This window comes from Homo sapiens, chromosome 10, assembly GCF_000001405.40.
Source record: "Homo sapiens chromosome 10, GRCh38.p14 Primary Assembly".
Taxonomy (NCBI): Eukaryota; Metazoa; Chordata; class Mammalia; order Primates; family Hominidae; genus Homo; species Homo sapiens.
In genome coordinates, this window is record NC_000010.11 from 86,701,881 (window position 1) to 86,729,144 (window position 27,264).

Genomic DNA, 27,264 nt, shown 5'->3' on the forward strand with positions numbered 1-27,264 from the left:
CCCAGGCTATGGGATTTTGAATGCATTCTGAAGGAAAGTGGAACTAGCAAAGGCTGTAGGGTGCCTTTCACACTATAGCTGATGAGGTGTTCTTCATCTAGACCACAATGGCAATGTGGGCCCTGGAGTTGCATGGAGCATTCCTGGGGCAAAGTGATGCAGCTCAGGGTTCCCCTGAGCCATAGTCACCAGGCAGCAAGGTGGAACATAGACCAGGTGGGTGGCAGCATGAATAATTTCAAGACCAACCACCTGACTGGCATTCTATCATCACCCAATCAACAGAGATTTTCATGCTCTACCATCTTAACTAACACAAGTAGCATCATCACCCCCACAGTGGCAACCACCCCTTCAGCACTGTCAATACCAATCACAAGGCCCCCACCATCACCAACAGTTCTGACCAAGCCCAGTGGCAACAACCCCAAGACCCAGCATCACCACCACCATTCCCATCCTTTCCAGACATAATATCATAGTTATCAATAACAGCATCAACCAAACCCCACCATTCCCACCACCAAGGGCCACCATGGAAGAGCAGGGGCACACAGTCAACATGCTCCACCTTGATGCTGACCAGACTGAGGGAAGAGATAAGCTGAAAAGGGGACGATGGTCAGGCTGTGTTTCTCCTGGCCACGCCAACCCCCCATGGAGCCATGAGCATGTGGGCCTAGTTTGGTTTGATTTGGTTTTTGCTTAGATGTTTAAACTGAATTATGACTAAGGCAGGAGGCAACTGTAGACCTTAGATCAGGATGGGGTGATCTCACCAGCACTGTCCTTAGGAATGAAGCCAGGACCAAGTAAGTTCTCCACAGTGCTTGCTCTATGATGCCCCCTTCAGAATGCTTCAGAGGGTTTGTGGAACTTCAGGCAGGAACTGACCTGGAATAAGAGCCCAAGATCCTTCAAGATACCCTTTGATGCCTCCTCTGCCTTCCCTAGCCCTGGCTTCTTGGTGTCTTTAGACAGTGTGCTAGAGAGGATGCTACTCAGCAAGAACCCCAAGCAGCAGGCTCCCTTACGTGCATACCCAGGTATACCTGGTGGTGATCATCGTCCTGGTGCTGTGGTCAATGATGAATTTTCCTAGGGCCCACATCCAGCTCCAACTTCATGCCCTGGAATCCAGGGTTCATTTGGAGCTCTGGCTGCGGAGAGCAGCAGGTAAGCTGGCCTAACAGTGAATTGGAGCCAAGGAGACAGGCAAAGCCAACCTCCTATTCATCCTACAGAATATTGTCCCCAGCCTGGACACTGTCATTGTCCTTGTCCTGTGCAGTGTCCTCATTTCCCAGCAGCCTACTGGAAGTGTGGTGTAGGGCCATGGAGAGCAGATAAAGGAGATCAGTGTTCTGTGTCAGCCTGAGCCGTCCCAGGCCATACCTGCCCACACTGAGAGGAGGGTCTGAGCAGCCAGCTCAGTGGCGTGGCTACAGAGACTGCAGCTACTTCTCTGAGGCAGTCACATCACCGGCATGGCTTCCAGAAGCGAGGTTCTTTCATAGGTGGGTTCGTGGAAGGGCCAGGGCCAGGCACGGCTGCAGGCCTGCAAGCTGGGCTGCCCAAGACCGCCTCCCTGAGCATTAAGTCAGGGAAGACCTGGGCAGGATGTAACCACTGCTCTTGCCCATCCCAAAAGCTTCCCACGCAGTTATGGAGAAGGATGGCACTCTCTCTCCCATGGGGGCAGTCAACCTCAACCTTGCCACTTCTCCAGCTCCATTCTTCCGTGACCCTGTCACAATATTTCATGCCCTTTTTACCATACACCTCACCAGATGAAGGAAAGTAATTCAGTAATGCTTTTGCAAATAGCTGAGGGCCCGCTTGCATTCCTATCTAGGGCAGACCCCTTTAGTGTCAGCTACTCCAAGTGTGGCCTGTATACAGACCAGCAGCATCAGCATCACCTGGAAGCCTGTTAGAAAAGTGGACTCTTGGCCGGGTGCAGTGGCTCACGCCTGTAATCCCAGCACTTTGGGAGGCCAAAGCAGGTGGATCACCTGAGGTCAGGAGTTCGAGACCAGTCTGGCCAACATGGTGAAACCCCAACTCTACTAAAAATAGAAAAATTAGCCAGGCATGGTGGCTCATGCCTGTAATCACAGCTACTCGGGAGGCTGGGACAGGAGAATTGTATGAACCTGGGAGGCAGAGGTTGCAGTGAGCCGAGATCGCGACATTGCACTCCAGCCTGGGCAACAGAGCGGGACTCCGTCTCAATTTAAAAAAGAGAAAAAAAAAAAAAGAAAGAAAGAAATGTGGATGCTCAGTTCTGCCCCAGACCTACTCAACTAGGATCAACTTCATTTTAACAGGATCCCCAGGGGCTTCAAGCACACATGGAAGTTTGCAAAGTGTTATAGTGGTGAGGCCCCAAGCCCTTTTTTGCCATTTTGCAGCTTTGTGATGTTTTACTAGAGACACAATCTTTCTGGACCTCAGATTTCTCATCTACAAAATGAGGGTCACAATCCCAATGGCTCAGGGAGGTTTAAATGATAAAATTGAGTAATAGGGTAATTTCTTTTTTTTTTTTTAAGATGGAATTTCGCTCTTGTTGCCCAGGCTGGAGTGCAATGGCATGCATGATCTCGGCTCACCGCAACCTCTGCCTCCCGGGTTCAAGGGTTCAGCCCCCCGAGTAGCTGGGATTACAGGCATGCGCCACCACGCCCAGCTAAATTTTTTTTTTTTTTTTTTTTGAGACGGAGTCTCGCTCTGTCGCCCAGGCTGGAGTGAATTGGCGTGATCTCGGCTCACTGCAAGCTCCACCTCCTGGGTTCACGCCATTCTCCCGCCTCAGCCCCCAAGTAGCTGGGACTACAGGCACCCACCACCACGCCTGGCTGATTTTGTTTTTGTATTTTTAGTAGAGATGAGGTTTCACTGTGTTAGCCAGGATGGTCTCGATCTCCTGACCTCGTGATCCGCCCACCTCGGCCTCCCAAAATGCTGGGATTACAGGCGTGAGTCACTGTGCCCGGCCTAATTTTGTTTCTTAGTAGAGACAAGGTTTCTCCACGTTGGTCAGGCTGGTCTCGAACTCCCGACCTCAGGTGATCCACCTGCCTCAGTCTCCCAAAGTGCTGGGATTATAAGCATAAGCCACCACGCCTGGCTAGGGTAATTTCTTTTACTGTGGTAAGCACTTAGTAATGCAAAGTATTGTTATTCTAATTATTTCCAATAAGAATAGTGCCTTTTATTGGGGAAAGAGTCTACTTGGCTGATCACAACAAGAGGTTTATTTCTTCCTCCATGAGGTACCGGTTAAGGATTCAAATCACAACATCCCTCAATCAGATCCTGCTATTCTTACTGATAAGTTGTAGGACCTTGAGCAACTGAATTCTCTTTGTTACCATTTCCTCATCTATTAAATAAGAGTCCATGATACCAACATCAGAGGGCTGCTGTGAGGAAGTAAAGACATCATTCCTGGCACATAGCATGAGGTCAATAAACAAACTGCATAGTGTAGGGGGAGTCATTCCCACTTGCAGAAGCTGCATTTATCCAGTTGCTGTTATTGCAAAAACAAATCAAAGAGTAAAGAATGTGCATTTCTTTGCTTTCCTATAATTTAATTTTTATTCTCTGCCCACCCCATTTTACAGTTAGCAACCCAGCTCTGACTGCTCTTGTCTTCCTAGAGTGGTTCTAGGGAAGAGGTGCTTACAGAATGCCAAGGCACTCAGGGTGGGGGTGTGGGGGCACACCTGGTCCTCTGTCAGGTTCTGCCTGCACTGGCATTTGCTGAGACATCCCCAACCCGTCTGGTCCACACTGGCAGTGTGGTCGCCTTTCTCTTTCCCAGTTACAAGGTCTTTCAGATCTGCAGGTGCTCAGGACCATGTTCTTGTCACTCTTGGGTGCATGGCAAATCCTCTAGGGCACCCAGGCCACACAGAGGCATGGGGATCTTTGGGCTATTTCAGGTCTGCCTGGCCCCTCACCATGGGCATGGGGAACCCTGGGGTCCTGCTGCTTCCTCAGGGTTGACCTTGAAAAGGGGCACAGGGGCTTCTATTCTTGAATCCCCTTGCCACAGTGCCCACTTTTGTCCAGGTAACCTTGCTCTGCCTGGCATGGTAGCTTTCAGCCATCTGTCTTGTTGGTGCCCTGAGTCCTTCCGAGCCCAAAGCCTAGGTTCTCACAACTCCAGAGCCTAAGCCCTTGACACTCAAATATCTTCACTCTGCTTTTTTTGCTGTATCATTCCTTCCCAAGGTAGCACATGCCCCCTGACTGAATGGGGAAGGGTGAAAACAGGATCAGGGAGGAACCTGGGTGGATAATTCCATCGGCCTTTCTACCACACTGTTTTGCTGAAAAAGAAAAATTAGGAAGTACAGAAAAATTTGAGGGGTGGGGGTGGGAAATTCCTCCAGGATTGAAAAAGTTTTTGATGTTACTGGAACCCTCCTGTGGTCTGAGCCTCTGCTCCTGGGATCCTGGAGGAGCTCCTTCCCTGAGCTGGAAGACACACCCTCTGAGGATCCTACTCTGTTTGCAAGGCAGGTGGAGCTTTCTGCCCAGCCTGCCTCTGCTGCAGCCACCTGCCCCCATGCAGAGGGGCCTCACAGGGTCTCTAGGCTCCCTTGACCTGTTGTCTTTTTGGTCCCGCCTCATCAGCACCCCTATTGAGCATGCGCCGGTGTGCACCAGCCAGGCCACCACCCCGCTGCTGCCCGCTTCTGCCCAGCCACCTGCTGCTGCCTCTCCCAGTGCGGCTTCGCCACCCCTGGCCACAGCTGCTGCCCACACTGCCATCGCCTCCGCCTCCACCACAGCCCCTGCTTCAAGTCCTGCCGACAGCCCAAGGTAACTGGGCCACAGGTGCTGGGCCTGACCCTGGGGAAGGGAGGCAGGAAACGCCCCACTCTGGGTCTACCTGTGGCCAGCTGTGTCCAAGGTAGTTAGGGCCCGCAGGCCTAGAGGAAGCCAAGGCCAGCGCTGCTTGGTGCAGAGTGTGAAGGGGAAACTGAGGGTGAATTACAGGGGTGTGCACCACTGTGGCGGGGACTGTCACTCTGCCCCCCAGGGACACATACACCGGTGAGAGAGGTAACAGTGTCTCTCTCTGACACATATACCAGTGAGAGAGGTAACAGTCTCTCTCTCTTTCTCACAGACACATACACACACTCATACACACAAAGTTAGATAACAAAAGGGGACTGTGGAAAAAGTCTTTGTTCCTGGAACTCAAATTAGATAGAATGAAAGTTGTCCCTGTGGGCTGGAGAAATCAAGGAAGGCTCCATGGAGGAGGCAGCATTGGAGCTGGGCAGGGAAGGCAGGTCAGATTTCCTCAGAGAGTTCAGCCATGTTAACGCCAGAGGCACCTGGTATAGTGGGATTTATATCTGCTCCACAGCTTACTGTGTGTAACCTTGAAAAAGTGACTGAAGCTCTCTGAACCTCAGTTTCCTCATCTGTTAAGATGTTTACCTAACACTTATTATATAGAATTATGATAGAAAAAATGTCTGTAAAACACCTAATACATATGAAGGACACAAGTATTGTGAGTTCCTGCATCTGCCCTCCTAGACACCCAGCAAGCAGAGACCAAAGGCCAGGGGAGAAGAGCGAAGGCAGAGAGGCCAGGCTGACAGGTCACTCTGCAGTGGCCATGTGGCGCATCAGGCTGGATGGGGCCAGCTCTCTGTCTGGGCTTCCAAGAGTAGGCCAGTTAGTGTTTGGGGTCAGAGCCCAGGTGTCCCAGGCCTCCCACCCTGGCCCCCACGGTTTGCTGGGGAGGACATGCCTCTTGGATCAGGATGGGTAGGTCCATGGTGCAGCCTGAGGTGGGATTGATGTGAGCAAACCGGCTTGCAGGCCTGTCTGCTGCCCCCATCCCGGGCTTCACATTAACCACATGGTGCCAAGCCCAACCTTTCCCCAGCCCAACTCAAGCCTGAAGGAGGAGCCTGGCCCTCCAGGGATGGTTTCATCCCAGTTTCCTGGGGGGATTTAGGACACTGCTTCCCCTCTTTATACCAGAATCTCTTCATATAAAGGCCTTGCTACCTGCAGAAAGATGAAACTTTGAGGAGGGCAAGAAATGCCTCTGTTTTTGAGTGGGAAGAAGCCTCCCAATATGAATGGTGAGGGGCTATAAATGCTGGAGCCCTGCAGGCAGTCTAGCCTCATCCCTGGGGCCCCAACCCTGCTCAAAGGCAGGCACCAGCACCAGGCTTAGGTCTCAGTGTCCTGGGCCTGCCCACGGCTGAGCTCCTGGAACCCTTGGGATGCCCCCCACAGGGGGAGTCCTCCCTTCCTTCCCTTTGCCTTGCCAGGAGAGCTGGGACCTGGGTGGAGCTTGGAGAGGGGCACAGAGGGCTGGCTGCCCAGCGGGGAGTGGGGCTGGAGCAGAAGGGGTCACGGGTTTGCACTCTGAGCAAAGCTACCTCCGCTCCTCACACATGGGCTGGGGTGGAGCGGGAGGTGGGGGAGCCCATGGGAGGCAAATGGACTCCCCAGCCTTTCATGGGAGCATGGCTTCAGAATTTTCAATGGATGCCATAAGCCTCTGCTCCCTTTCCCAGTGCCAGTCCCTGACTCAGGACCTGTAGCTCCTGGGCTGTGGGCAAAGTGTCCTCCAATGATGGAGTCCAGCTAAGACCACTGCACCTTGGCCCGCCCCCATCACTATGGAAGCCTGGCACCCCTTGGACACTGTCTCTTCCTCTTCCATGGAGACCCCTACTCTGCTGGTCTTAGCACAGGAATCTATCCAGAGAAGGGCAGGTGGGCCTGGGGAGGGGAGACAATAGCTTCACTCAGCCAGAAACTCGGCAGCTTGACAGGGCAAGTGTGCACAGCCCCCTGGTCTGGGATGCCAGCTCCCTGAGGCTCATTTTATCTCCGCCTTGTCTGGGACAGCCCCTCAGACCTCTCTGGATCCACTCAGAAGCTTGGTGGTGGGTTCTCATGCCAGGGCCAGTCCCTTCTCAGAGCCCCAGAGAGGAAGGCACTCCTCATCCTACAGCTCTGCCCAGCAGGGATCGGCAGGCCCCAGGTCCTTGAGGAACAGACAGAAGGAAGGCAGAAAGCCATGTGGGGGTGGCAGGCAGGGCTCACTTCTCCAGCACCTCTAGCAATAACCCATTTGCCCTGGGTGTGGGCATGTGGTCCCCTTTGAGATCTGAAAGACCAGGGATGTGTTCTGCAAGGTGTTCATTAGTTTTAAATGAAGAAAAGCATTTTACAAACAAATACAATTGGGGAACACTGATCAGACAAGGCTCAACAGGCCGCTGGATTCCAGGAGTTCTCAGAGCCTTCAGCTCTCTGGGAGGAGAGGCCACGACGCACAGACTCTCCTGAGGGTAATGAACTAGGACGCTTTTTTTAAAATCTCTTTGACCCCATTGTCCCTGGGCCACACATGGGGAAAGGTGACCCTAGGCCCCTTGAAAACTAACCCAGTTGGAGGAGGGCAACAGGAACTCTATGCAGAAGAGGTGTGTGTTGGGGGAGAGGGGGGTGCCTTGGGCAGCAGGCGGGGGCAGTCTCCTGACTTCCCCTGAGCTCTCACTGGAGCATCTGTGCCCAGAAACCTGAGACTTTGCTGTTCCTTCCAGCAACAATAGAAAAGGGTAGGCAGAAGAGGCCAGGTGGTCAGGGGCTGAGGTGCCCCACAAGGTCGTGGGGGTAGGTAGTTCTGACCAGCGCCATCTCTCTCCTCTCCCCTACCTATGCGCTCTTCCACAGTCCCACCTGGACAGTCTCTCCCCATGAGAGTGAAGGGTCTTCCCGGTGTCCTCCTGGTGGCTTTTCTCCCTCTCTCCAAAGGCGGTGGCACTAGCCACCCAAGGAACATCCTCCTCCCCTCCAAGACCCTCATGGTCCTTCCTTCACAGTTTCTGGCAGTTCCCCAGAAATGTCTCTGTCAGGTGTCCTCACAGAGGCTTCTGAAGACCTGGGAGCCAGCCTGCCTTGACTGCAGGCCCCAGTGGGGGCTGTCCTTCTGGGTGTAACCCCTCCCCGCTTGGTTCCAGGCCCCAGGCCTCTTCCTACAGCCCCGCAGTGGCCGCCTCTTCAGCACCTGCCACCCACACCAGCTACAGTGAGGGCCCCGCCGCCCCTGCACCCAAGCCCCGGGTTGTCACCACTGCCAGCATCCGGCCTTCTGTCTACCAGCCAGGTAAGAGGCAGAGCAGGAGGGGAGGCTGTCGAAAGCCATGGGCGGGCTCCAGGAGCCACAAGAGCCAAGAAGTGGCTCTGGGGGCACATCCCCAGAAGAATGGGAAGCAAGGCCTTGCTAATGATGCTCCGCCCTCCGTCCCCTAGCTGTGGGTCAGAATCCTATGGAGCCTGCATCTGGTCTGGGGGAGACAGGTGAGCAAGAAAGCGGTGGATGATTCTAAGGGAGAGCGAAGGAGAGCAGAGAAGTCTTCTCCGGACCGGGCATGGTGGCTCACACTTGGAATCCCAGCACTTTGGGAGGCTGGGGCAGGAGGATCGCCTGAGGTCGGGAGTTTGAGACCGCCGGGGCCAACATGGCGAAACCCCATCTCTACTAAAGATTCAAAAATTAGCCGGGCGTGGTGGCACCCACCTGTAATCCCAGCTACTCGGGAGGCTGAGGCAGGAGAATCGCCGGGAGGCCGAGGTTGCAGTGAGCCGAGACTGCACCATTGCACTCCAGCCTGGGCGACAGAATGAGACTCCATCTTCTCTGTGTCATGCCAGTGTGCGAGATTTGGCCGCAGCCATGGGGGTACAGAACAGCACATAAGGAGCCTAGACTCGGGAGCAGGTCCTATCCAGGCGCAGGGAGAAACCCCAGGGAAGTTTTCTCTGCCGCTGGAGCCCAGGGAGATGAGACAGGCACTGAGTCAGGGCAGGCCTTGCTTCGGGGCGCTGGTTCATGAAGCTCGCTCTGACAGCAGGGCTGAGTGTGGGCGGTCGAAGCGGCTTTTGCCCGAGACAGAGGCCGGTGCCACGGCCTGCTCTGCTCTCGAAGGCAAAGTGCCTCATCCATCCAGGCTGCGCTGTTCATGGACACCTTGTGTTCTGGGGATGGAATGAAGCACCCAGCACAGCGTCTGTCACACGGGAGGTGCCCTTCTCTGTCCCTACAGAGAAGGGGCAAGGATAGACGGTTCTGAGGTGAAAACTCCGCAGGGCGAGGTGGCATTTTGCAGTAGTGAAAAGCCTTAGATGGAGCAGTGGGAAGAGGCTGCCCCTGCAGAGACTGGGAACACAGGGAGGGGAGGCTGGAGAGGAGTTGGAGGAGAAGCGGCGGGTGGAGGCGAGGCCTTGCCGGGGCACAAGGAGGACATTTCCGTCTCTTCCTGGGGAGGCGCTTCTGGCACCTTCCGGGGCGGCCTCCGGCTGTCTTCGCCCAGCCCGCCAGGCGGCGTCAGGGCTCCGGGGGCGCGCGGCCAGCCCGCCCTGCGTCTCCTTCCTCCTCCTTCCCGGGCTGGGGCCCAGGCGAGCGAGACGGGCCGGAGCCGCGGGCCCCCGCGCCGTTCCCAGGCCGCGCAGACATTAACTCATTCCTGCCTAGGGGGAAAGAGGCGGCCGGGCGGGCGCGCGCTGGAGTCGGCCTGCCTCCACCTCCCTCTCCGGGAGGCCCGGCTGCCAAGCGGAGTCCGGGGGCGGCTGGCAGGCGGCCCCGTATGAAGTGGGGCGTGTGGTCCCGAGCCCCCCTCCGCTCCCCTTCCCTCCAGGCTCTTCGGATCCGGGCGTCAGAGAGGGCGGGGAGCCCGCGCGGGACCCGGAGCGCCGCGGCCGCAGCCGCAGCTCCCCCCGGGGCCTCCTCCGGGCCGAGGGCGGCGTTCGCAGGCCGGATCTTATCGCTGGCGCCCGAGGTGGGCGGCCGCTCCCCGGAACACCTGAGGCCCGGGAGGGGGCGGGCGGCGGCGGCGCGGAGACCCTGCGCGCGGGCCGGGGACGGTCACGTTGGCCCGCGGGCCGGGCGGCGGCCAGGCGCTTGCGGAGAGCCGGGCCCGGCCCGGCGTGAGTCAGAAATCACCTTGTTTAATTACATATCCCCGAGCCCGCCGAGTGCGATAGGGGACTTTTGAACTTGCCAATTAGAGATGAAATATCACCTTCTAATTTAGACTGGCTTAATTCCGTCACGCAAAAATAGCAACAGCCCCGGGGCTGCGAGATGGGATATCAGGTCTCTCCTGGCGTGACGGCGAGCCAGGCTGAAGGATGCAGAAGCTGAGGGCTGCGAAGCGCCACTGCCTGCTCGCCCCCCGACGGAGTCGGGGTTGCGACGGGGGAACGGAGCTGCCGGGCCGGGCCACCGAGGCCGGGGAGGTTCCTTCTCTGGGTGGGTTAGCCCCAAGCAAGGAAGCCGTCAAATCGGGGTCCAGATTCTAGCCTGCCTCTGTGAGACCTCTGTGTTGTGGGGGCTGGAAAAGAAAAGGAGGTGGATCCGGGAGTCTGTAAGGCCTTCCGATGGAGGGAAGCGACTGCCAGGCAGGGGGAATAGGGTTAGTATTGCTGGAGGGAGGCAGGAAAGGTGGGCCAGGGCCCTGTTTACTTGAAAGGGGGCGTACTAAAGCCTGTTTTGCTGCTTGGGGAGTTTCTAAGCGGGCATCTGCTGTTGAGTCTGGCAGCCTGAGCTCGTTTCGGCTAAGCAGTTCACCAGCTGGATGACTTGGAGGCAGCCATTTAAGCTCTCCAAGTCTCAGTTCCTCATCTGTAAAATGGACTTGCAAATATTATCTGCCTCCTTGGATTGCAGCGAGTAATAAGGCACGTAAAGGGCCTGGCATGTGGAAGCAGTCATTTTGGTGAAGGCAGCACCACGCAATAGAAATTTCCTATTAGCCACATTTTTAAAAAATAAAAGAAAGCAAGTTAAATTCATTTTAATATATTTTCTTTGACTACATATATTTAAGATATCAGGCCGGACGCAGTGGCTCACGCCAGTAATCCCAGCACTTTGGGAGGCCGAGGCGGGCGGATCATAAGGTCAGAAGATCGAGACCACCAGGGTAACACGGTGAAACCCCGTCTCTACTAAAAAAGTACAAAAAATTAGCCGGGCGTGGTGGCGGGCGCCTGTAGTCCCAGCTACTCGGGAGGCTATGGCAGGAGAATCACTTGAACCCAGGAGGCAGAGGTGGCTGTGAAGCCGAGATTGCGCCACTGCACTCCAACTTGGGCGACAGAGCAAGGCTCCGTCTCAAAAATATATATATATATATATAATTTCAACATATAATCAATATAAAATAATTATTAATGTGCCTTCAAAATCTGGTGTGTGTTTTACACTAACGGCACTTCTTGGTCGGACTAGCCACATTTCAGCTGCTCATCGGCCACGTAGCACTATGTATTGGACACCGCAGGATTAGGGCTTCTGGTCTTAATCTTTTTATTTTTTGAGATGGAGTTTCTCTTTTGTTGCCCAGGCTGGAGTACAATGGCACGACTTCGACTCACTGCAACCTCCACCTCCCGGGTTCAAGAGATTCTCCTGCCTTAGCCTCCCGAGTAGCTGGGTTTACAAGGCGCCCACCACCATGCCCGGCTACTAGAAGTTTTAGTAGAGACGGGGTTTCACCATGTTGGCCAGGCTGATCTCGAACTCCTAACCTCAAGTGATCCACCGGCCTCAGTCTTCCAAAGTGCTGGGATTACAGGCGTGAGCCACCGCGCCCAGCCAATCTTAATCTTTTTTAGCAGAGAATTGCACTTCACAAAGAAAGGAAAGAAAATGTTGCACAGAACCCCCTTATATATAACAGAGGGATGAAGCTGCTCTGAAGTTGTGCTAGATCACCTCTCCCTGCTCTCTGTCCCTGGTGGTGTTCCTGGAATCACTTCTTCCCCCAGCATTTTGATATTCTCTGCAAAGTTGTTAGGGAGGGTGACAATACCTCAAATTTGGGCTGTACACATTTACAAAATCCATTCACTATGTCACCCCAGCAGGTCCCCAGCATGCCCTGTGGGGCAGGCAGGGTGTCAGGCATTCCACCACCACTGAATAGACCTCAGTCTCAGGTTATCTGACTTCAGGATGTTCCATTTCCCTTCCCTCCTCTCCCCCAACCCTAGGCGCTACCAGTCTAACTGGGCTGGGCTTCCCTAGGTGAGCAGCAGGCCATGAGACAGGCTGACAGTACATCTGACCCTGACACCCAGGTTGCCCCCATCCTTGCCATCCTCACTCACATTTAGTGACACACTATGCCAGGTACTAGGCTACGCTCTTTATATTTCTTACCTTCCCTTAATCCTCATAATAACCTTGTGAGATACTAAGAATCAGTATTGCCAGTTTTAGATGAAGAAATTGAGGCCCAGAGAGGTTAAGGAACTTGCCCAAGGACACAAAACCAGGAGGTAGTAGAGCTGGATCCTGCAGCCAGGGCTCTTGGCTATGCTATCAAGACTCCACAGCAGGGGGTCTCCTTCATGTTGAAAATGACTCCTCCCTGACATGTTGCACTGAGATTTTCTAGAAATTGGACTCATATTCTTTACAGAGGCAGCTTGGGATGATAGAATGAATGGATTTGGAGATGTATTCCCACTTACTAGCTCTGTCTGAGCCTCAGTGACCTCAAGTGTAAAGAGGGAATAATGTGAAGACCGATTCAGATGACAGATGCTATGTGCCTCGTTACCCCTAAAGGGGAGGAAGATTCCTTATGGAGAAGGTATTATCTTTTTTTTTTTTTTTTTTTTGAGATGGAGTCTTGCTCTGTTGCCCAGGCTGGAGTGCAGTGGTACGATCTCGGGTCACTGCAAGCTCCGCCTCCTGGGTTCACGCCATTCTCCTGCCTCAGCCTCCTGAGTAGCTGGGACTACAGGCACCCGCCACCACACCCAGCTAATTTTTTGTATTTTTTTAGTAGAGATGGGGTTTCACCACATTAGCCAGGATGGTCTCGATCTCCTGACCTCATGATCTGCCCACCTCAGCCTCCCAAAGTGCTGGGATTACAGGCGTGAGCCACCATGCCCAACCGGTATTATCTTTTGAAGGCCTCACTGGCAGGATGGCTCCAGGGCAGGGCTGTGGAGGGTTTTATCTCTTCTTCCTTCAACAACATGGATGGATCCTATCTACCTGGTCCCTACTCACCCCCAGCACAGGGATTTCCAGCTCACCCAGCTCTGAAGGGTGGGTCACCTGGGAGTGGAAGGTGCAGAGTGGGAGCCACAGGCTGCCCCAGGCGGTCCAGGGGAACCAGGTGGGAAAGAGAGACTGGAGATGGGGCCAGGGTCTTAGGCCCTAAGGAAAACCTTCCTCTCCAGGTTGAGGCTGGAGTATGGGGTGGGGGGCAGAGGCGGGGTGTGGGTGCAGGGACTGCCTCAATGCAGTCCATCCTGCCCATACTGAGCTCAGGAATGGGGAGGGAGGCTGTGCTGACATGCTTCCTAGGGTTGGGGGAATGAGGCCTCTTTGCTGAGGAGCAGACTGAAATGTGGTGAGGCTTCTGGAACCTCACTCACTGGAAGAGGAAGCCAGCTGGACCTTGCCTGCAGGGTGCAGCTGGGTCTGCCCTGGCTAGGTGTTGAGGGCCCAGGCGGGAGAGGGCTGTGGGTAAGCAGTGGCAATGCTTTTTCTGTGCTGTGAGCCCAAAACGTTTTTCTGCTCTCAGGGAGCTGGAGGAGGGGGTGATAGAAGTGAGGTGGTGCATTCTCTTCCCTGTGCTCTGACTGCCTGGGCAATCTTTAGACAGTCACTCAGACACACTCTCAGCTTCCACCAAAGCGATGTGGGAGTACAGGGGTCCCCCAAGGCAGCCACGGGCCAAGTGAGCAGCTACTTCTAGGCTGTGTCACCCTAGAGTCTCTGCCCAGCACCCTCTGAATGACTCCTTCAAGATCCCCCACCCTAATCAAACCAAGACGGAATTGCCCCCCAATACAAATCAAGCCAAGCTGTTTTTCAAGAAAGTAATTGTAGCTAAACCTGAAACCTGAACCTGAAAACCCAGCTACCAGGTCACCTGTTTTGTCCTGAGGGCTGACCTAGGTCCAGGTTCAGCAAACTTATGCCAAGGGAGGTATTTCAGATGTCAAATCACTGGTCAGAGTGCAACTGAAAGCATCTTGCAGTCAAAGGCGAGGTGACCCACTCCCACCTCTCCCCGCCCAGGTACCCCCACCCCCACTCTGCGTCTTATGCAGGCCTTGGGCAGTCAAGGCCTGGCGGAGCCCCACCCTGCACAGCTGCAAATATTTATAGCCATGTCCCTTTTCCAGCCCTGTCGAGGGTTCTGCTGTGCTTGCTCCCTAGCTCTGTGAACACCCTGCTGAGAATTCAAATCTGGGCCATCAAGAAGTTCAGGAACAAGTCTCCCAAAAAAACTGAAATTGTACTGCTCTAATGTTAAAGTCACCTTTTGCATTTCTCTGGCTAGGAGTGAGGGGAACTGGGAAGAATGAATTCCTGACACACCTTTCTTTGGGTTTTTTTTGGCTTTTGCAGTGCCTGCATCTACCTACAGCCCGTCCCCAGGGGCCAATTACAGTCCCACTCCCTACACCCCCTCCCCTGCCCCTGCCTACACCCCCTCCCCTGCCCCTGCCTACACCCCCTCACCTGTCCCCACCTACACTCCATCCCCAGCACCAGCCTATACCCCCTCACCTGCCCCCAACTATAACCCTGCACCCTCGGTGGCCTACAGCGGGGGCCCTGCGGAGCCTGCCAGCCGTCCACCCTGGGTGACAGATGATAGCTTCTCCCAGAAGTTTGCCCCGGGCAAGAGCACCACCTCCATCAGCAAGCAGACCCTGCCCCGGGGAGGCCCAGCCTACACCCCAGCGGGTCCTCAGGTGCCACCACTTGCCAGGGGGACCGTCCAGAGGGCTGAGCGATTCCCAGCCAGCAGCCGGACTCCACTCTGCGGTCACTGCAACAATGTCATCCGGTATGGTCCAGCTGTGCCCCTGCACTGGGGCACTGGAAGGGCGTGTGTGTGGGGTGCTTGCCCACAGTCTGAGCCCTGGTTGGGAGAGATGGGGGTAGGAGGCAGGTGTAGGGAGAAAGCCTCGGGTCCTTCTGGCTTGCCATCTGGTCTTACCTCTCTGAGCCTTAGCTGCCATACCTGTGTGACACCCACTCTCCCAGGGAGCTGGGAGGAATGGCATGAGGTATGTGGGTGAAGCTCCAGCAGGATGCCTGGTGCCAGGAACTCCCCCTTGGGCTAAGGTTGAGGTCTGGGAATCACCAGGCTTGTCAGTAGGTTTACAGGGCATTTTGTTAGACAGTGTTGGTTTTGACCCAGTTTTCCTTTAGGGTTGTTTCTGGGTCTTTCCACAGACAGGCCTGGGCTGCTCAGGGGGTTGGTGGGCATCTGCCAGACTAAAATGAAAACAAGTGATTTCATACTTAGAAGCCATGGACCATGGGTGCTGTTGTTTGAATACAGTATGTTTGTGTGCATGTGTGGTGTGAGCTTATATACGTGAAAAATACACTTTTATTTAAAACTAAAGTAATACATACTCATTAGTGAAGAATTGGAAAACACAGAAAAGTAAAAATTAGAATATAAAAAAATGTCTTCATAGTCCCACTGTTCTGACTGCTAACCTGGAACTAGACAATACAAGTTTGTATCCTGGTCTACCACTTACTAGCCCTATGGCCTTAAACAAGTTGTTCAAACTCTGTGTGCCTCAATTCCCCTATCTAAAAATGGGTATTATAATAGTACCTAGTGCGTAGGATTGTTGTGAGAATTAAGCAAGTTAATAAATGCAAAAGTCTTCTTGAATAGAGCCTGACACAGAGTAATCACTTAATAAATGTTAGCCATCAGCATCATCATTATTGCATTTCTTACTATCATTATCAGTGGTCAACTGAATTCTATAATATGTTTACCCAGTCCCCTATTGGTAGATGTTTGAGTTGCTTCCTGATTTTCTTTATTGTAAGTGATGCAACAATGAACACCTTTCTGCATGGAGCTTTCTCTGAATTTCACATTACTTCATCAGAACAGTCACAAAAGTCAGAGTTATTGGGTAAAAGTATAAACAGTGTTGGGGTTCTTCAAATATCTAATTCCAAGTTCTGGGAGCTGCCTTACTGGGTGCCATTCTGTGCTTCCCCAGGGGCCCATTTCTGGTAGCCATGGGCCGTTCTTGGCACCCTGAAGAGTTCACCTGTGCCTACTGCAAGACTTCCCTGGCAGATGTGTGCTTTGTGGAAGAGCAGAACAACGTTTACTGTGAGCGATGTTATGAGCAATTCTTTGCCCCGCTGTGTGCCAAGTGCAACACCAAAATTATGGGGGTAAGTGGGAGGCCTCCATTTCCTCTGACCCATGTCTCTTCCCCAGCCCTTCCCCAAGATCGTGGGATCCCATTAGGAAGCCAAGAAGTTGCTGGTAACAGAGAAAGCAACTCCATTTTTATCCTAAAAGGGAATTGGTTTGCCACCAATAAACTTGGGGATAAATGAACTTGATGCAAGAGATGATTGTGTGCCTGTTCCACACAGCTTGAAGTGGTGGTGGAACTTCTGCAAAGCAAGTGGTTGCTTCACAGCCTGACCTTACCACTCACCAGAATGTGGCCTTAACCCTCAATGCCCCTTTGGTAAATGACAGTAATAAGCAGTACCTCCTCCCAGGTTTAATGGGAGGATTAAGCCTCACAGTTTATGTAAGAAAGCACAGAACCTGGCACCCAGCTGGAGAGTGACAACCCCTTCTCTGACACCCCTGGGTCTTTCTTCAGAGTGACCAAGGCCTGCATCCTGAGATCTCCTGCCCTGTTCCCTGGTAGGATGCTCGGGCAGTGGCTGGAGCCTGGTGGGGTAGTCAAGCCCGCTCCCTCTCTCCTTTCTGTCCTGAGCTTAGGCTCTTTCCCCCAGGAAGTAATGCATGCCTTGAGACAGACATGGCACACCACCTGCTTCGTCTGTGCGGCCTGCAAGAAGCCTTTTGGGAACAGCCTCTTCCACATGGAAGACGGGGAGCCCTACTGCGAGAAAGGTAGGAACACTTCGATGGCATGTGGGGAGGCCCCACAGCCTGGGAGAAAGGGGCAGGCACAGGGAACTAACTCCTGCCTAATCCATTCACATCCGACCACCCAGAGGCCTTTATTTCTGGAAGAAACCTTTGTTTTTGCTTTTAATGGCAGAATCATGCTAATATCACACAAAGGAAGTTAACTATCTCCCCTGCCCATATGGTTGCAGCTTTGGGGAGAGTGAGGTGCAGAGTCTATAGCTTATTTTATGCATCAAATATGTGGATCTGGTTAGGTGAGGTGGCTCACACCTTAATCCCAGCACTTTGGGAGGCCGAGACAGAAGAATTGCTTGAGCCCAGGAGTTTGACACCAGCAACATAGCAAGACCCAGTCTCTACAAAAAATATAAACATTAGCCAGGTGTGGTGGCGCGTGCCTGTAGTCTCAGCTACGCAGGAGGCTGAAGTGGGAGGGTCGCTTGAGTCCAGGAGTTCGAGGCTGCAGTAACCTGTGATAGCACCACTGTATTCAGCCTAGGCAACAGAGTAAGATCCTGTATCTCAAAAAAAAAAAAAAATGTAGATCACAAGTTGGCATCTTATGACCACTGGGAAACCTTTCAGGTTATTTTGATTTGGAGACCACAAGGTCTAGTCTGAAAAGGCCTTGGCTGTGGACTTTGTCCTTCATTCTATTCCTGGTTCCACTTTGGGCTGCTTTGTAAACCTGAGCAAGTTACTAACCTTCTCTGAGCCTTACTTTCCTCGTCTGTAAACACCTGCCTTACAGAGCTGTGGTGAGGATTAAACCAGAGAAGGCGTGTAGAGCATCAAATATGCGAGACCCCTTCCTCTGCCCCTGTGATATTTATCAGACTTTGATGTTCCTGCAGATTCCTGTAATCTCACGGAGTGAATTCAGAGTTTCTCTGTACCCCCAAAATGCTATATGTTATCTTAAAATGCTAAGTAAATTATTGTAAATTCAAGAGACAAAGCACTTCATTAGATAGGTGGAAGTCAGTCACTCATTTATTCAGAGGCTTCCCCCTTCAGAAAGGATTTGAAGCAGGTTCCAGAAAAGGTAACACAGACATGAAGGCTAAGACAGTAGAACCAGAAAATCAGAGGCGGGAAAAGCAGGCATGCTGATTATGAAGAATAACAGAGCTGCAGGGACTAACTGGGTAGCAAATTTGAGGGCAAAAAGAGAAACACAGTAAGTTAGTTTACTTTAAAATCAGAAAGGAGAAAACATTCAGTTCCTCAAGGGAAAAAGCAAAACAAAATAAAACTTCTTTCCCCTGACTGTAAATTAGAAAATAAACGTTTTGGCTGGGCGCGGTGGCTCACGCCTGTAATCCCAGCACTTTGAGAGGCCAAGGCAGGCGAATCACCTGAGGTCAGGAGTTCAAGACCAGCCTGGCCAAAATGGTGAAACCCCATCTCTACAAAAATACGAAAATTAGCCGAGCATGATGGCGGGCGTCTGTAATCCCAGCTACTCGGGAGGCTGAGGTTGAAGAATCGCTTGAACCCGGGAGGCAGAGGTTGCAGTGAGCTGAGATACTGCCGTTGCACTCCAGCCTGGGCAACACAGTAAGACTCCATCTGAAAAAAAAAAGAAAGAAAGAAAAGAAACGTCTTGGGTTCTTGTACTAGTGAATGCCCTTCCCAGCTCTGAAGTTAACTGAATGACCTGAAACAAGTCACTTACTCTGTGCCTCAGTTTCTATATCTGTAAAAGGGAGAAGATAATACCAGACCTTTCCTTTCTCATGAGCATATGATATTGATCGGTAGTTAAAGAAAGAGCTGTTATGCTTATACAACTTGCTGTTATTCTTCTACTAAAAGCATTATAACTTCTATTATTTGAGATAAGCCGCAATTTGTGTCTGAGGCTTTTGAAAGAATGATAGATTTCCATTATCACTGCTGCCCCTCATCATAGCAACTCCCCCGAAAAGATTCTCAAAAATGATGTTTTGAGTAAGAAGATCCAGGAAGAAGACGGTCTAGTGTTAAGAGAAGACAGTGAGGAAGCAGATTTACCTTCAGACCTAGGTAACTGGAGAGACCCAGTTGATCCTCCCACCTCAGCCTGTAGATGGAACTTTAGACATCCGCTACCATGCCTAGCTAATTTTCATCATTTTTTGTAGAGATGAGGTCTTGCTATGTTGCCCAGGCTGGTCTTGAAATCCAGGGCTCAAGCAATCCTCCTGCCTTGGCCTCCTGAAGTGCTGGGATTACAGGCATGAGCCACCGTGCCTATTTTTGATTCTGTTCTATTTTTGATTTTGTAAGGAACCTCATACTGTTTTCCATAACGGCTGCACTGTGTTACAAACCCATTAACAGAGAATAAAGGTTCCAATTTCTCCGCAGCCTTGCAAACACTTGTTATTTTCTGTTTTTTAAAAAATAGTAGCTATCCTAACGGGTATGAGGTGAAACTTCATTTTTACGTCTCGTCATTTTAATCAACAATTTGGAAGAAGACACAGAAGGGAGTCCTGTCAAATCTGCAGATTGAGCCAGAATGATAGGGTCTAGGCTGAAAAATGCTTCAGCTGGCTGCAAAGATAAGCTGACATCTGCATATAAAGAAGAGAGATAGGTGGGTCAGCCCTTCACAGATGAACCTGCACCCGAGCAGTTCCCAAACCTGGCATCATGGTCACCTAGGGAACTTAACAAACTAGAGAGAAAATAGATTGTTTCAGACCTACCTCAGACCCACAGAAGCAGCATTTCGTAGGGTGCCCCACCCTACCCAGGTGTTTCAGTTAGGTGTGGGAATCAGAAGTGTTTCTCAAAGTGTGGTCCCAACACCAGCAGCAACATCACCTGAGAACTTGTTAGAAATGCAGATCTTCAGGCCCCACCCCAGATCTGGTGAATCAGAAACTCTGGAGGGGAGCCTGGCACGCTGTGTTTCAACAAACCCTCCATGTGCTTCTGATGTTTGGGAACCATTGCTCTAGAAAAGTACCAAGCCCCTTTTCAACACAGAGCACCTGCAATTTGATGGACAGAAATCCTTTTACAATAGCAATAAAATCCATTAAATGTGAGGGTAGTAATTCAGCTTGGGACAAGAGAGAGTCAAAGAAAATTAGAAAGACTTAAAGGGAGAAATAAAGGAAGGAATAAATATATGAGGAGCTAGATTATACTCCTTGTGGAAAAGGCCCATGCACAGACTTTGTTCGGTACCAGCAATGTTCTCCTTTTGCAGAAATAACTTTTGCAGAAGTTGTGAAGAAAAATACCAACTTAAACAAAAATGTGTTAGTATCAGACCCATGCTACCAAATTTTAAAACAAAGCGATAATTCTCCAAATCATATGGAATCAAATTTAAAACAGAAAAATGAATCAGTGGGCAAGACAAGGCATTCCAGAGGTAAATTCAAGCCTTTGTTTTGTTTTGTTTTGTTTTTGAGACGGAGTCTCGCTCTGTTGCCCAGGCTGGAGTGCAGTGGCGCGATCTTGGCTCACTGCAAGCTCCGCCTCTGGGGTTCATGCAATTCTCCTGCCTCAGCCTCCCAAGTAGCTGGGACTACAGGCTCCCACCACTGCACCCAGCTAATTTTTTGTATTTTTGGTAGAGACAGGGTTTCACCATGTTAGCCAGGATGGTCTCGATCTCCTGATCTCGTGATCCGCCCACCTTGGCCTCCCAAAGTGCTGGGATTACAGGCGTGAGCCACCGTGCCTGGCCTTTTTTTTTTTTTTTTTTTTTTTTGAGACAGAGTCTTGCTCTGTCACCCAGGCTGGAGTACAGTGGCATGCTATCTTGACTCACTGCAACCTCCGCCTTCTGGGTTCAAGCAATTCTCTGTCTCAGCCTCCCAAGTAGCTGGGATTACAGGCTCCCACCAACACGCCTGGCTAATTTTTATATTATTAGTAGAGATGGGGGATTTCACCATCTTGGCCAGGCTGGTCTTGAACTCCTGACCTCGTGATCTACCTGCCTCGACCTCCCAAAGTGCTGGGATTACAGGCGTGAGCCACCGCACCTGGCCAATTCAAGCCACTTTAATAGCTTAATCTGTGAAAAGCCAGTAAGAGAAGGAATCACTATTTAATTAGGTTGTTTGAACCATTTAATTTAATTTTTATATTTATTTAAATATGGAACACAGCCCAGCTTGGTGGCTCACGCCTGTAATCATAGTACTTTAGGAGGCCAAGGCAGGAGGACCCCTTGAGCCCAGGAGTTCAAGAACAGCTTGGACAATATAGGGAGACCCCATCTCTAAAACAAAAAAAAATTAAAGTAGCCGACCGTGGTGGTGCACACCTGTGGTCCCAGCTGCTCAGGAGCCTGAGGTGGGAGGATGGTTTGAGCCCAGGAAGTTGAGGTTGCAGTGAACTGTGACCACATCATTGCACTCCATCCTGTGTGACAGAGCAAGACTCAATCTAAAAAAAAAAAAAAAAAAAAAAAAAAGGAGATGATGGATGAATGGATAGGATGCATGGATAAATGGAGGAGGGAAGGCCAGGGAAAGCCTTCAGCAAGGCCATCTCATCACTCTTGGTTGGGGTATGTAGGGCATGAAGACTTCCCTGAAGGACAGCCTAGCACAAAGGATTGCAGAGATTCTCTCAGGTACAGAAAGTGGGGATGGTTTTTCAAGCCCAGGGCCTGGTTTGCACAGAGGCATGGAGGTGTAAGAGAAAGTCCAGGGCACCATGAGACCACCTGGGAGTGATGAGAAAGAAGTCGTAAGTGGGTGCAGGGCTTGTCCTCAGGTGGAGACGGGTCAGCCCATACCAGATAGTAGTAAGTTCTTGCAGAGCACAGAGTGAACTGCAACCTGGGCGGTAACTTTCTAAAGGAAGCAGAACGATGTTTTCTTAGCTCTGGCAAGGCAATGCATTTCTGCCTACTAAAGAAATTAAGTGTTCCATCAGAGAAGATTGATGGACTGGGATACATAAGAGCATTTGCATGACAAGCTACAATTAAGCACAAAAGGGGAAGCTATATATTGGAAAACACATGCAAGAGATAAGTGTAACTGATCAAAGCTCAATGCCATGCTGATAAGGAGCTGGAGACAGCGTAAAGCCATAGAAGGAGGATGAACATTGGAGTCCATCAGGACTGGGGCTACTCCTTATGACTTCTGTGATGGAACCTCTCCAGTCAGTTTCCTCCCCTTTAAAATTGGAATACTAGGCTGGGCGCGGTGGCTCATGCCTGTAATCCCAGCACTTTGGGAGGCCGAGGCAGGTGGATCACTTGAGGTCAGGAGTTCAAGACCAGCCTGGCCAAAATGGTGAAACCCCGTCTCTACTGAAAATACAAAAATTAGCCAGGCGTGGTGGCACATGCCTGCAATCCCAGCTACTTGGGAGGCTGAGGTGGGAGAACTGCTTGAACCCTGGGAGGCAGAGGTTGCAGTGAGCTGAGATTGTGCCACTGCACTCCACCTGGGTGACAGAGTGAGAGTCCACCTCAAAAAATAAATAGGCTGGGCGCGGTGGCTCACGCCTGTAATCCCAGAACTTTGGGAGGCAGAGGCAGGTGGATCACAGGGTCAAGAGATCGAGACCATCCTGGCCAACATGGTGAAGCCCCATCTCTACTAAAAATAAAAAAATATAGCTGGGTGTGGTGGCGCGTGCCTGCCCTCCCAGCTACTTGGGAGGCTGAGGCAGGAGAATTGCTTGAACCCAGGAGGCGGAGGTTGCAGTGAGCCGACATCATGCCACTGCACTCCATCCTGGTGACAGAGTGAGACTCCGTCGCAAAAAAAAATAAAAATAAAAAATAAATAAATAAATAAATAAAATAAATAGATAAATAAATAGGGAATATTATCTCTTCACAGAGATGTCATGAGGATTAAACAGGAGGCATAATGGCACTCAAATCATTGTTCCTTTCCCTCTTTGCATCAGTTATGAAGACTTTCAAAATAAGAGCCAACATTTTTGAGTGTTTGTGCCAAATACTTCACTTACATTATCTTATTTAATCCACTCAAAACCCCATGAGTTCGGTACAATAATTATTCCCATTATATAGATGAGAAGGTTGAGGCCTTGAGAAGTTACGCCACTTGCCCCAGGTTTGAACATTTCTTAATAGAGTTGGGATTTGAACCCAGCTCTTCCTTTATTCAGAGTCCAATTTTGTAACCCCCATGGCACACTGGCACTCAGTAAGACGTGGTCTAAGACAATGAATGGACATACTATCCACAAGAAGAACAGGAAATCACTTAAGAAAAAGCCAACTGTGGAAGAGTTATGGAGGAATGCGTACACTTCTCAGGAGGGATGAAGGCTTTGTAAACGGGATGGAGCTTTTCTAGAATAATCTAGAGATGTTCTACAGTCAGTGTGGTAGAACTGTAGCCCCTTTGGGCCTAGAGAGGACAGCTGCCCTGGTGAAGGAGCACAGAACCTGACCCACTGTGCTTCAGCTGTGGGATGCTGGCTGGGCCCTTCACCTCTTTGAGTCTCAATTTTCTCATCCACAAAACAAAACAAAAAGATAATAATAGTTCAATTTCTGAGGGATTTTGTGATGATCAGTTTCATTCATTGATGAACTGATTGATTGGTTAATGCATTCATTCCCTATATATGTTTTGGATATTGACTGTGTGTCAGGCATTGTGCTGGGAGTGCAAAGAAAGCTAAGATGTAGTCCCTGACATTGACATACTTGTAAATAACACCATCCATGTGAAAATGCTTGGTAAATTGCAAAGCATCATATCAATAATATTTAATAGCATTATCTCCTTGGTTGGGGGTAGGGAAGGAGGAGGAGGACATGCCCCAATAAAGTAGTTCAAATACTGTTTATAGTAGTAAAAACTTGTTGTCAACACAAATGCCCCATGACAGAAGAATGGCCAAGCAAAGAAAATTCTATAACTCTTAAATACGTTGGACCCACATTCTTCCAAACTAAGCATAGATGTTTGGAAATGTGGATTGTTTTCTCTTTGGGGCTTGATCCGTTTGGTCTATTAGAGGTGACAGAAGCAGAGGAGACAATCTCCCTGCAGAAGGTTGATGACAATTCCAGAAAGTGTTTGCAAATCAAACCAGCACAAGATGGTGTCTAAGCCTGGGTCTGAACAACATCAATGCAATGATTGGAAAATGGAAAACTATCAGTCATGTAACTGAGTATTTCATCTGTGAGATGACAAACAACCAATTAGATTTCACCCCCTGCTTCTGCCCACTGATTTGGGGTTTGTCTTGGCTTTGGGTCCCCGCTGCCCCCACTGGGTGCGGGGTCTTCACTCTGCTTTTCATTTCAGACTACATCAATCTGTTCAGCACCAAGTGCCATGGCTGCGATTTCCCCGTGGAGGCTGGCGACAAGTTTATCGAAGCCCTGGGCCACACTTGGCACGACACCTGCTTCATTTGCGCAGTATGTCTCTAGCTTGGGGCTCTGGCTTTCTGAGAAGAGGCAGGAGGGAGGAAGTGGGAGCCAGATGACCAACCTCTACATACCTTGCCACGCTAGCTTTCTGACATCCTGATCATTTTTAAAAGCTGGCAAACACCATGATGCCTCGATACATCACAGTCGAACAAAGTTTCATTCCTAATAATTATTTATAAACCAATGTGGCTTTGTTACTTTCCATTTCGTTAAGGACAACAGAGTGTCCCAGGGTTTGGCAAACCAGCGGCTTGTCTCACCAGCAGTGTTGTCAGCGGGCAAAAGCAGCAGATGATGCTTGGCTTTGAGAGGGGCAGTTGGCTTCCCATGGTTATATGTCACTTCAGATATGATGGAGTGACTTGAAGGTTTTCCCCTCCAAATTGTTACCCCAAACACTAGATTGGAGCTGACTAATCCTATGAAAAGCTGAGATAGGGTTTCTCTTGGTAGCACCTTTGGAAAGCAAGACTGAGTACCATTTTATTTTCCTAAGTGGTCCTTTCCTGATATATAGCTGCCAGGAGATAAGCCCTGGATTAACTATTAACTGTGTGCTACTTATTTCTGCTGAACAGCCGGGTCACTTTTAGTATGAGACTGGCATTTTCCTTCTGAGGGTTTTGGGTTGGGGTGGGCACATGATGGTGAGCCTACAGACATTTAGACTCTGAAGGAGAGGTAGGAAACAGTCATCCCTGAGAAAGCCCCCTAATGTCAATCTGTCATTGCCTAATCTCGATTTGAGAATTTTTTTTTTTTTTTTTTTGAGATAGAGTTTCTGCTCTTGTTGCCCAGGCTGGAGTACAGTGGCATGATCTCGGTTCATTGCAACCTCTGCCTCCTGGGTTCAAGCGATTCTTCTGCTTTAGCCTCCTGAGTAGCTGGGACTACAGGCACATGCCACCATGCCTGGCTAATTTTGTGTATTTTTAGTAGAGAGGGGATTTCACCATGTTGGCCAGACTGGTCTCAAACTCCTGACCTCAGGTGATTCACCCACCTTGGCCTCCCCAAGTTGTGGGAATACAGGCGTGAGCCACCACGCCTGGCTGATTTGGGAAAATTAAGACACCTCTACTATTTTTTTTTTAACCAGAGTGTCTCAAGGTAAATTTTGGAAATGTATGAAATATCTGTACAGTTTTTACTTGAATAATTTTTATAGACTTCTGACATAGGATGACCCTAGTCATAAAGTTTACGGCCATATACTTTTGGTTCCACACTTCGCTTCCATACCCCGCCATCTGTGGGACACACTGTATTCACTCTGTGTGTCGGTTTGCTAGGGCTGTCTTGACAAATTACTGCAAACTGATGGCTCAAACAACAGAAATGAATGCTTTCACAGTTCAGGAGGCCAGAAGTCCTAAATCAAGGTGCTGACAGGAGGCCATAGTCTCTCTCCGAGCTACTAGCGGTTGCTAGCAATCCTTGGCATTTCTTGGCTTGCAGCTGTGTAACTCCAATCCCTGCCTCCATTGTCACAAGCCTGTCTCCCCTCTGTGTGTGTCTTCACATGACATTCTCCTCTGAGTGTGTCTGTCTCTGTGTGGGTCTCCTTTTTTTTTTTATTTTTTTTTTGAGATGGAGTTTCCCTCTTGTTGCCCAGGCTGGGGTGCAATGGCGTGATCACAGCTCACGGCAAACTCTGCCTTCTTGCACGTGAATTTTGTGGAATACAATTCAACCCCTTAACACTCTGATTTTCTAGCTCTTTGAACAGATTCTCTAGTTGTCTTTTAGGGTGTTTTAAATACATCCCCTCCAAAAAGAGACAATGGTGTAAGTATACTGGCTTTGGGTTTGTCCCCTGCAGAGTCATAGCTCCCCTGTGTCAGGCACAGCACAGGGGTCTCTGAACCTTACATTCAAGCCATGGCTTGTCTAGTCCTGAGGCACTGCCTGCACATCTGGTTACCCAACTTCTGGAAGGATCCAAGAGACTTGGGGAAGGTCCAGGAAGACAGTGGCACAGAAGGCCTGTTTTCCATGGGCAGGCTGATGAGAGGTCTGTGTCACATGCAGAGGGAATCGTGGCAAAGGTGAGTGTGGGTCTGCTTCTGCAAGCCTCGCAATTTCAGCTGAGTCACAACAGCAAAAGTCCAAGAGAGAGACCAGAAGAAGGCGTAAAGCTTGGGGTGGCTAAGGCTGATATTACAAATAAGTTCCAGAGAGTGAAGTCCAGCCTGTGAGAGGCCCATAGCACTGCCCTTTAGAGGATCAACATGGAGATCGTTAGGTCTCCCTCCAAACCAGCCTGCATGATACTCACTGCTCTGTCAACATATAGCAAAGTGGAACATGGTTCTTTTGTTTTTTTTTTTTTTTGAGACAAAGTCTTGCTCTGTCGCCAGGCTGGAGTGCAGTGGTGCGATCTTGGCTCACTGCAACCTCCACCTCCCAGGTTCAAGCAATTCTCTGCCTCAGGCTCCTGAGTAGCTGGGATTATAGGCGCCTGCCACCACACCTGGCTAATTTTTGTATTTTTAGTAGAGACGGGGTTTCACCATCTTGGCCAGGCTGGTCTTGAACTCCTGACCTCATGAGCCACCCACCTCGGCCTCCCAAAGTGCTGGGATTACAGGTGTGAGCCACCACACCCAGCCGGAACATGGTCTTAACATTAGGAAGAAATCTTTTGATTGGAAAACTTTGAGGGACTTGAGGGATTTTTTTTTTTTTGGTCCTCTTTCTATCACTTCATATTTCCAAATCACTTTTGATGAGCATGTATTTTCCTGTAACTTCCAAAAAATTAGTAAGAGAAAGATCTGGGGTAGCTCTCCCAGCTGATGTGCTGTTTTCTAACCAGTGAGATCTCAGGATAGCACATTCTTTAGACTAACTCAGTTTACCAAATATTCCTGGCAT

The 27,264-nt window shown here is 50.6% G+C and overlaps 1 protein-coding gene across 6 annotated transcripts in view, besides 5 other annotated features; it reads left to right on the top strand.

Annotated features, from left to right (window-relative positions):
* Positions 1-27,264, top strand: part of LDB3 (LIM domain binding 3) — a 69,285-nt gene that overhangs the window by 35,093 nt on the left and 6,928 nt on the right. For 4 of the 6 annotated variants that reach the window (NM_001368064.1, NM_001171610.2, NM_001368065.1 and 1 more), the window contains 5 exons: positions 8,025-8,170; positions 14,447-14,891; positions 16,084-16,264; positions 16,847-16,967; positions 24,257-24,372. In NM_001368064.1, the coding sequence (NP_001354993.1) occupies positions 8,025-8,170; positions 14,447-14,891; positions 16,084-16,264; positions 16,847-16,967; positions 24,257-24,372 (1,009 nt within the window). Of the gene's footprint in view, positions 1-4,650; positions 4,840-8,024; positions 8,171-14,446; positions 14,892-16,083; positions 16,265-16,846; positions 16,968-24,256; positions 24,373-27,264 lie in introns of all 6 variants that reach the window. The other 2 variants (NM_007078.3, NM_001368066.1) reach the window with 1 other exon arrangement.
* Positions 8,908-9,527: an enhancer, noted in NCBI's record as "H3K27ac-H3K4me1 hESC enhancer chr10:88470545-88471164 (GRCh37/hg19 assembly coordinates)". NCBI's record gives its function as "activates a minimal SCP1, AML or CMV promoter by ChIP-STARR-seq in naive H9 embryonic stem cells {active_cell/tissue: H9 hESC(naive)}" and the evidence as "EXISTENCE:reporter gene assay evidence [ECO:0000049][PMID:30033119]".
* Positions 8,908-10,147: a biological region, named in NCBI's record as "hESC enhancers GRCh37_chr10:88470545-88471164 and GRCh37_chr10:88471165-88471784".
* Positions 9,262-9,951: a silencer, noted in NCBI's record as "silent region_2572". NCBI's record gives its function as "represses an Ori minimal core promoter by ATAC-STARR-seq in GM12878 lymphoblastoid cells {active_cell/tissue: GM12878}" and the evidence as "EXISTENCE:reporter gene assay evidence [ECO:0000049][PMID:35858748]".
* Positions 9,528-10,147: an enhancer, noted in NCBI's record as "H3K27ac hESC enhancer chr10:88471165-88471784 (GRCh37/hg19 assembly coordinates)". NCBI's record gives its function as "activates a minimal SCP1, AML or CMV promoter by ChIP-STARR-seq in naive H9 embryonic stem cells {active_cell/tissue: H9 hESC(naive)}" and the evidence as "EXISTENCE:reporter gene assay evidence [ECO:0000049][PMID:30033119]".
* Positions 10,692-10,741: an enhancer, noted in NCBI's record as "active region_3696". NCBI's record gives its function as "activates an Ori minimal core promoter by ATAC-STARR-seq in GM12878 lymphoblastoid cells {active_cell/tissue: GM12878}" and the evidence as "EXISTENCE:reporter gene assay evidence [ECO:0000049][PMID:35858748]".